The following is an 8798-nucleotide window of genomic DNA, read 5'->3' as shown; positions in this document are numbered from 1 at the left end:
ACTGCACCTGGCCTTTCCCCTGTATTTTTATGCATAGGTTGGAAGTGCTCTCTGTCTGGGGGGCCACGTGGAAAGATGGGTCAAAGACGGAAGCAGTGATGCTCCCAATAGCATCCTGGCTGCAGATCAGCTGGGTCTGGAGCTAAATCTTGGTGAATTTGACACACAGCCTGATTATTGTCTGGAAAGTTCTGGAGAGGAACTCAGTCACCTGTCACCTGTCTTCCCAGGCAGGTATTTCCTTCGAGCTCTTTGAACCTCAGCACCCTGCTGGGGAGTGACCCCTGCCTGGGTTTAGGTTCTGCAGTTGGCATGCAGGTCAAAATGTATCGGAGGTGTGCCTGCAACACAGGCCAGGGCCTGACTGGTGCTGTGTGTGCCATTATCCTGGAATTGAAGGGAGGAGAAGGCACTAGAATTTTGAAGACGCTTCTCAGGCGAGGGCTGTGCATAGCCAGGGTTGACAGGCTCAGGAGCTGGGAGGGGGTCCTGGGAAGAGGGTGAGAATTGGACTCTGATCTCACCAGCCAGGTGCTTCAGGCTGGACCCCAGAAACACCTGTCAGGTAGGTCACAGAGATGAAGGACAACTCAGGTCCCAAGAAGTCGAGAAGAGAGCCAGCCAGTGAGCAGGTTTAAAAGTTAGAGCTGGGCCAGGTGCGGTGGCTCACGCCTGTAATCCCAACACTTTGGGAGGCCAAAGTGGGGGATCACTTGGGGCCAGGAGTTTGAGACCAGCCCAGCCAACCTGGCGAAACCCTGTCTCTACAAAAAATACAAAAATTAGCCAGGTGTAGTGGTACACACCTGTAGTCCCAGATATTCTGGAGGCTGAGGCATGAGAAGCGCTTGAACCCAGGAGGTGGAGGTTGCGTGAGCTGAGATCACACCACTGCACTCCAGCCTGGGTGACAGAGCGAGACTCTTTGTCTCAAAAAAATAAAAAGTAAATAAAAGCTGGAGCTGGCTGGACTGTGGGGCTCATGCCTGAAATCCCAGTGCTTTGGGAGGCCGAGGAAGGAGGATCGTGTGAGCCCAAGAATTCCAGATCTCCACACAAAAAATAAATACATAAAAATAAATTTTTTAAAAATCAAAATATTAGCAAGGCGTTGTGGCACATGCCTGTAGTCCCAGGTACTCAGGAGGCTGAGGTGGGAGGATCGCTTGAGCCCAGGAATTTGAGGCTGCAGTGAGCTGAGATGGGGCCACTGCACTCCAGCCTGGGCAACACAGCAAAATCCCATCTCTAAAGTAAACAAAACAAAATAAAATAGCTGGAGCTTCTTGTCACCATAGGAGCTGAGAAGGGACTAGATTTGTCGTAACAAAACTCCTGCACGGGGTCCGGAGACATCATCTCAGACCATCCCCCAATGGCTCCCCGCAACCCTGGGCTATCAGGGATGAGGGGCTGCTTTTCAAGGAGGCCAGTCCAGGACCTTGGCCTGGCCTGCCTGACACAGCTACTCCTGGCTGCCTCCCCGCCCCTCCCACACATCTGCATGGGATGGCTGCCCTCCTTGCTCACCGCGGCCACACAAGCCTGCCCGTCTTGGCTTCCAGGAGCCGCAGTGCGCAGGCCAGGAGCAGCAGCCATCCTCTGGCTCTTCTGCCTTGGCTGAAAGTCAAGGTTATTTCTGCCCCTCCTACCTTTTCCCAAAAGCCCTCAAGGGCAGGGCCGGTTATGGGCAGGGCAGTGCGAGGGGTTGGAGGGCCATTCTGCCCAGGCCACTCATTCCTGATGAGCCCCCAATGCAGCCTGTTGTCGCTGTGTTGGGGAGGGTTTCTAGGAAGTATCTATGTGTGTTGAAGTTAAAGCATTCACTTGCTAAATATAGATGTATTCGGTTCACCTTAATTTGTGTAACCCCTGCTTTAGGAAAGAAGAAAAGAAAGAAAGAGAGAGAAGGAAGGGAATGAGAATGGGAAGGGGAAGGGGAAGGAGAAGGAGAGGAAAGGAAAGGAAAGGAAGAAGGAAGAAGGAAGGAAAGGTGAGAGGGAGAGAAGGAGGAAGGGGAGGGAGGGAGAGAAGGAAAGAAAGAAAAGAAAGAAAAGAAGGGTGCAGTGGCTTACACCTGTAATCCCAGCACTTTGGGAGGCCAAGGCAGGTGGATCACTTGAGGTCAGGAGTTCGAGACCAACCTGGCCAACATGGTGAAAACCCATCTCTACTTTTAGTAGATATAAAAATTAGCTGGAGGCTGGGTGCGGTGGCTCACGCCTGTAATCCCAGCACTTTGGGAGGCCAAGGCGGGTGGATCACGAGGTCAGGAGATCGAGACCGTCGTGGCTAACACGGTGAAACCCTGCCTCTATTAAAGAAATACAAAAAATTAGCCGAGCACGGTGGCGGGCGCCCGTAGTCCCAGCTACTCAGGAGGCTGAGGCAGGAGAATGGCGTGAACCTGGGAGGCGGAGCTTGCAGTGAGCCAAGATCGTGCCACTGTACTCCAGCCTGGGTGACAGAGCAAGACTCTGTCTCAAAAAAAAAAAAAAAAAAAATTTGCTGGGCATGGTAGTGCACACCTGTAATTCCTGTTACTTGGGAGGTTCAGGCAGGAGAATCACTAGAAGCCAGGAGACCGAGGTTGCAGTGAACGGAGATCATACCACTGCACTGCAGCCTGGGTGACAGAGAAAGACCCTATCTCAAAAAACAAAACCAAAAATAAAAAAAGAAAGAAACAGAGAAAGAAACAAAGAAACAAAGAAAAAGAAAAGCTCTCTAAAACTCATCAGGAACAAACTCCAAAGACAGCATCTCTCAGGTGAGCTCAGGAAGGGCTCTGAGTGTTTTGAAAATCAGGACTTGGTGAGGCCCAGTGGTGAGAGTGTCTGTGTAAAGTTGCATTATTCAGAACAAGTTTTCCTGTATAAAAATAATACCAAAAAACTAACCGCAAATGTCAGTAATCAGAGGTTTGGAATTTGGACTACTTCTGCTCCAGAAGGAACTATCTGGAAAGACGGCAGACGGGACCAGTTTCTTTCTGGGGAACGAGACTGGGCTGATGTCAGAATTCCCCAATTTAAAATCAGAACTTCCCCCTGTCCCCAGCTCCAGGCCCTCCTGGCTCCTGGGAGCCACAGAGAGATGGCTCCCGTGGGCAGCCGCTGTGGATGGATCCTTTATTGGGCATCTTGAATTCCAAGCACCAGCCCCACATTTGCAAGCAGAGCCTCCAGGTGACCAAAGTGGAGCTGCACCTGTGACGTGCTAACTCCCCATCTGCTGGGCGGCACAGCGGGGCAGAGGGAAGGTGGAGAACCGCTACCGTCTCCACCCCTCCAACCCCACCCCTCCCCCAGCCAGCTAAAGCGGCTTCAGGAAGGGCCACGTTCTGAAATGAGGGCTGGGGGCAGGCCACGAGGGTGCTATTAGTCCTGTGTTTGCGGCCTCCTTGCCTGCCTGGCTGGTCCATGAGACCAAGCAAGGCCCTTTCTCCCCACCAGCGGGGAACATGCTGCCACCGGAGGGATGGCAAAGGGTTTACGGGCAGTTGACAACTTGGTGTGCTATTTCCATAAGTGCTGATGAGTTTCTACCAGTTGTTCACACATCATTCAAGAGATACCTTTTGAACACCAAGAATACACAAAGCCCAGGCAGGGAGGGCAGAGAGCCTATGCCTGGCTAACACCGGCAGGAGGCAGCTGCTCCCTTCTTTGATGGAGGCAAGTACTCCAGAGGTGACAGAGGGGCCTTGCACCCAGGCTTCGGGGCAGCCACGCAGAGGCTCGGCAGAGGGTGCTTCATTATGGGCCAGGCATTGCCCCAACCCCCACCCTCGCCTGGGGCTACCCACTGCTCCCACTTCTCAGGGGCAGGAAGTAAGCCTGTGAGAGGTTAAGGAGCTTCCCCAGGCCTTTCACTACTCAGTGGTAGAGCTGGGACTTGAACCCATAGCACATGCCTCACACCTCTCCTCGAGCTAGAACCACTTACATGTTTGGGGGTCCGAAAGGCCAGCGTCCGTTGTAAATAATACAGGAACAGAGATGGGCTCTTGGAATGAACATGTCACTCCTGGCCGGGCCGGTGGCTCATGTCTGTAATCCCAGCATTTTGAGAGGCCCAGCTGGGGGGATCACTTGAGGTCAGAAGTTCGAGACCAGATATGGTGAAACCCTGTCTCTACTAAAAATACAAAAATTAGCCAGGCATGGTGGTGCATGCCTGTAATCCCAGCTACTCGGGAGGCTGAGGCAGGAGAATCGCTTGAACCCAAGAGGCGGAGGTTTCAGTGAGCCGAGATCGCGCCACTGCCCTCCAGCCTGGGCAACTGTGGAGACAGGGTCTCACTATGTTGCAGAGGCTGGTCTCGAACTCCTGGGCTCATCAAGGAATCCTCCTGCCTTGACTTCCCAAAGTGTTGAGATTACAGGCGTGATCTGTAATCAGATTTTTGAGACTCCATCTCAAAATAAACCAAGAGAAAATGTCAGCCCTTTGTTGGATGAAGCCATTCCAGGCTGGTGTCACATAATTCACTGTGCTTCCCTGCCCATCCCTCACCCACTGCAGACCTGAAATAGGGCATTGCAAGGGACACCACGACATTTGCAGATGCACACCATTTCTTATGGGTGAGCGCTGATTAGTCACAGGCCACGCAGCCCAGCCCTGTGCTGAATGATGTGGGGCAGATTAGAAACCACAGCCCATTTCTGCTCCTAAGGCTGAATTCCTCCATGGGAAGTCAGGATCAGAAAGCAAAGCAGGAGACGAATATGATCAAGCATTGGATGGCAGCCCCCATTCTCTTATTTCTGCATTTCTCTTAAAGTTCTGTGTTTCAGTCAAGAGTCCACCCAAGGCGGGGCAAGGTGGCTCATGCCTGTAATCTCAGCGTTATGGGCAGTCAAGGCAGGAGGATTCCTTGATGAGCCCAGGAGTTCAAGACGAGCCTGTGCAATATAGTGAGACCCTGTCTCTACAAAAAATAACAACAACAAAAAATTAGCCGAGTGTGGTGGCATGCACTTGTATTCCCAGGTACTTGGGAGGCTGAGATGGAAGGATCTCTTGAGTTCGGGAGGTCGAGGCTGCAGTGAGCTGAGATTACACCACAGCACTCCACCCTCGGTGACAGTGTGAGACCCTGTCTCTGACAAAAAAAAAAAAAAAAAAAAAGAGTCCACCCCAGGCTCCCCGCTGCTGGGCAGGCTTCCTGTCTCCCTCTCCCAGCTGCAGCTCAGACTCTGATCTGCACTTGCACTTAGGACAGCTCACCACACCCCACCAACCCCTCTCCCACCGCTACCCCTCTAGAAGCTGAGCCTCCTGGGAGCAGTGTTGGGGCAGGTTCTGCTTGGTTCCCCTCCAGCACCAGGGCCAGGGTGCGGCACACTCACACCCACCCACTCGGTCACGCCCTGGGTGTTTCTCTAGGGCCCTCCGTGGGCCAGTCTCTGAGCTGGATGCAAACGTTCTTAAGGAGAAAAAGAAATCAGTTTCTGTCTTCTGAGAACTGACAGTGTAACAGCAGTGAACCCAATAAACAACCATAACAAAATGCTCAGCAATGGCAGACCATGATAAGGGTTATGCAGGGAAGGAACAAGACACCCTAGGAGAGAGGAACAGCAGAAACTAAAGCTACATGGGCGTGGAGCATCAGGGAGGCCTCTGCTCAGGGTGTGCACGCCCAGTGCCTCATAGGGGCTCACGGTTTGATGAGCACATTTGAAGGTAATGGAAGGAAAGGTGACAAGAGAGGAGAAAGTGTGCAAAGTGGGGCAAATGGGCTGGGCACAGTAGCTCATGCCTGTCATCTCAGTGCTTTGGGAAGCCAAGGTGGGAGGATTGCTTGAGCCCAGCATTTCAAGACCAGCCTGGACAACATAGAAAGACCCCCATCTCTACGGAAAATAATTTTTTTTTTGAGACAGAGTCTCATCTGTCACCCAGTGCAGTGTCGTGATCTCGGCTCGCTGTAACCTCCACCCCCCAGGTTCAAGTGATTCTCATGCCTCAGCCTCCTGAGTAGCTGGGACTACAGGGGTGTACCACCAAACCCAGCTAATATTTTTGTATTTTTAGTAGAGATGAGGTTTCACCGTGCTGGCCGGGCTAGTCTTGAACTCCGAACCTCATGATCCACCCGCTTTGGTGTCCCAAAGTGCTAGCATTACAGGCATGAGCCCCGGCTCCTAGCCCAGAAAATAATTTAAAAAAAAAAAAGCAAAATGAAATAAAGTGGGGCAAAGGAAAATCCGACTGAAAGAGAGCCTGGCATTCGGTAATCAAAACCCTTTCCAAAGTTGAAGGACCAAAGCTCCGTATGAAGGTGACCAAGGAGGTACTGGGACAGTCGGCCAGCCAGCTCCTGAACGGCTGCAGGTGCACCTGATTCCAAAAAGTAGGAGTAAGTCAGTCCCAGCGGGAAGTACAAGTTCAGCTCCCTGAAGCCTGCTGTGCCATTTATGGGCCATTTCTGCGTGTAAAACAGGAAATTAGGGCATTAAAAATGACGAACGAGCCAAATTAGCCCATCTGTCTCTCACAGAATCCCCCTGGGCTACAGTAACTGTGACCCTGGCCAGCCCCTGAGAGCTGAGAACCAGGCAGGCTGCAGGTCTCCCATGCCCACGGTGCCCGACTCTGCCTCTCTGGGAGACTGAGCCCGGAGCAGGACTCCGCAGGGAGCTGCCTCAGCCAGAGCGGTGGTGGGCATGGTGGGGATGGACGAGATGGCAGGGTCTGAAGCTTCCCCGGGGACGTCTCCCAGAGAGAAGAGCAATCTCCTTCCGGAAGTTTCCAGCAGCCCTGCACCCAGGGGCTCAAACAGCGGCATCAGGACCCAGATTGTCATGAGAGGCTCAGCTGTCCTCGGAGTGGAATTCTTTCACAGGCAGGCTCTCCCCAGTGGCGCCAAAGGCGACTACAACTTCAGTCCCAGCCTCAGCTCAAGGAGAGGGGCTTGTTCAGCACTTCCCCGCCATATCTTGGGATTCGTTCTGATTGGTTCAGCTTAGCTCACTGCCCACCCCTGAACCAATCACAGTGGCCTGCAGCTGCACTTCTGTGCCCTCATTGGTTGGCCATTCCTGGGTAGTGCCACTCCCTGCTGGAGCTCTACCTAAATCACATGGACTGTGAGTCATGGATGGGTCCTCCAAAGAAAAGCAGGGTGACTTGGACAAAACAAACAAGACAGCCAACTACAGCTGGGATAAGAGACGTGTGAAGGGGGAAAAGCAAAACCGCAATGGAAAGGAAAAGTCCCCAAAGGGAAGTGTTAGGGCTCAGAGATGGAGGGGGACCCCGGCAGATCCAGGAGGTTGTAATGGGTCCGGCATAGCAGCTCCAGCCTGTAATTCCAGGACTCTGGGAAGCTGAGGCGGAAGGATTGCTTGAGCCCAGGAGTTCCAGACCAGCCTGGGCAACAGTGAGACGGTATCTCTACAAAAAATAAATATATATATGTAGACTGGCGTGGTGGCATACGCCTGTGGTCCCTGCTACTCGGGAGGCTGAGGCGGGAGGATCATTAGAGCCCAGGAGGTCGAGGCTGCTCCCTCGGGCTCACTCGAGGCTGATCATAGCTCACTATGATCACACCACTGCACTGCAGCCTGGGCGACACAGCGAGACCCTCTCTCAGGAAAAAAAAAAAGAAGAAGAAGAAGAAGAATGTCATGGAAGGAGTGACATTTGGATGGTTATGAAGACTGGGGAGTTCTCATGAGCAGTAACCACTGGGCCATTTTCTACCCTGCACTTTCTCTCTCCTGCAGGTGCCTTTTTCTTAATTACACCCAGAGAGTATAGGAAAGTGGATGCCAGCGATATTTATTTTCTGCTCTGAGCCCAGCACAGGTATCTCACCAGGGGCATCTTTCTTAATGAGGGAAGAAAAATGTCAGAACAGCGATCAGCCACGATGCACCCAGTGGACTTAAAAATAAGCAAAAATAACATGAAATTTTTTTTGCATTAGCTGGCTGTATATATCATCCAAGACTATGAGAGCAGGATTTTCTTTGTGCCATGGTGAGATCTGTTACTAGGGGTTTCCTCACAGTGGACGTGCTTCACAGAGGGGATATTCATTCTGGGGATTATTTTATTCAATTTAAAACCCGAGCAGAATTCGGGGGCTCAAGCCCATCTGTTCCAGCTGAGGTGCCAATCTCCTCCTTGTGTTTCAGGTCTGTATCCTCTACCCTCTTGGTGGTGCCTCCTTACTTGCATCTGAGGTTACACCTTTTATGTGTATTTGGGGGCTTCAGGGGCAGAGCAGAAGTCCCTGCCACTTAATAAGAAAGCAACCCTCTGTGAGGTCATATTACCTTCACACAAACCTGTGAGTAGGGATTCTCATCCCCATTTAAGAGAAGAGGAGACTGAGGCTTGGATGGGCTTATCTACTGATCCACTGTGCTACACACCTTCCCTATCTGCTCTATCAGGGCCAGAGATTGGCTGGGCACGGTGGCTCACACCTGTAATCCCAGCACTTTGGGAGGCTGAGGCCAACGGATCGTTTGAAGCCAGAAGTTTGAGACTAGCATGGCCAGCATGGGAAAACCCCATCTCCACTAAAAGTACAAAAATGAGCCAGGCATGGTGGTGCGAAATCTAATCCCAGCTACTTGAGAGGCTGAGGCACAAGAATCACTTGAACCCGGGAGGCAGAGGTTGCAGTGACCTGAGATCATGCCACTGCACTTCAGCCTGGGTGGCAGAGCAAGACTCTGCCTAAAAACAAAAAACAAAACAACAACAAAAATTAAAAGGAAAAAAAAAACAATTAGTGGGTGTGGTGGTGCATGCCTATAATCCTAGCTATT

At 51.9% G+C, this 8798-nt stretch overlaps 6 annotated features.

Annotated features, from left to right (window-relative positions):
* Window positions 3452-3987: an enhancer, noted in NCBI's record as "H3K4me1 hESC enhancer chr19:30373138-30373673 (GRCh37/hg19 assembly coordinates)". NCBI's record gives its function as "activates a minimal SCP1, AML or CMV promoter by ChIP-STARR-seq in primed H9 embryonic stem cells {active_cell/tissue: H9 hESC(primed)}" and the evidence as "EXISTENCE:reporter gene assay evidence [ECO:0000049][PMID:30033119]".
* Window positions 5258-5317: a silencer, noted in NCBI's record as "silent region_10472". NCBI's record gives its function as "represses an Ori minimal core promoter by ATAC-STARR-seq in GM12878 lymphoblastoid cells {active_cell/tissue: GM12878}" and the evidence as "EXISTENCE:reporter gene assay evidence [ECO:0000049][PMID:35858748]".
* Window positions 6703-7203: an enhancer, noted in NCBI's record as "H3K4me1 hESC enhancer chr19:30369922-30370422 (GRCh37/hg19 assembly coordinates)". NCBI's record gives its function as "activates a minimal SCP1, AML or CMV promoter by ChIP-STARR-seq in naive H9 embryonic stem cells {active_cell/tissue: H9 hESC(naive)}" and the evidence as "EXISTENCE:reporter gene assay evidence [ECO:0000049][PMID:30033119]".
* Window positions 6703-7216: a biological region, named in NCBI's record as "Sharpr-MPRA regulatory region 11671".
* Window positions 6922-7216: an enhancer, noted in NCBI's record as "tiled region #11671; HepG2 Activating DNase matched - State 20:ReprD, and K562 Activating DNase unmatched - State 4:PromP". NCBI's record gives its function as "activates a minimal TATA promoter and a strong SV40 promoter by Sharpr-MPRA in HepG2 and K562 cells {active_cell/tissue: HepG2 | K562}" and the evidence as "EXISTENCE:reporter gene assay evidence [ECO:0000049][PMID:27701403]".
* Window positions 6987-7046: a silencer, noted in NCBI's record as "silent region_10471". NCBI's record gives its function as "represses an Ori minimal core promoter by ATAC-STARR-seq in GM12878 lymphoblastoid cells {active_cell/tissue: GM12878}" and the evidence as "EXISTENCE:reporter gene assay evidence [ECO:0000049][PMID:35858748]".

The sequence above is a fragment of the Homo sapiens genome, chromosome 19, assembly GCF_000001405.40.
Source record: "Homo sapiens chromosome 19, GRCh38.p14 Primary Assembly".
Taxonomy (NCBI): domain Eukaryota; kingdom Metazoa; phylum Chordata; class Mammalia; order Primates; family Hominidae; genus Homo; species Homo sapiens.
This window is presented reverse-complemented; position numbering and strand designations above follow the sequence as displayed.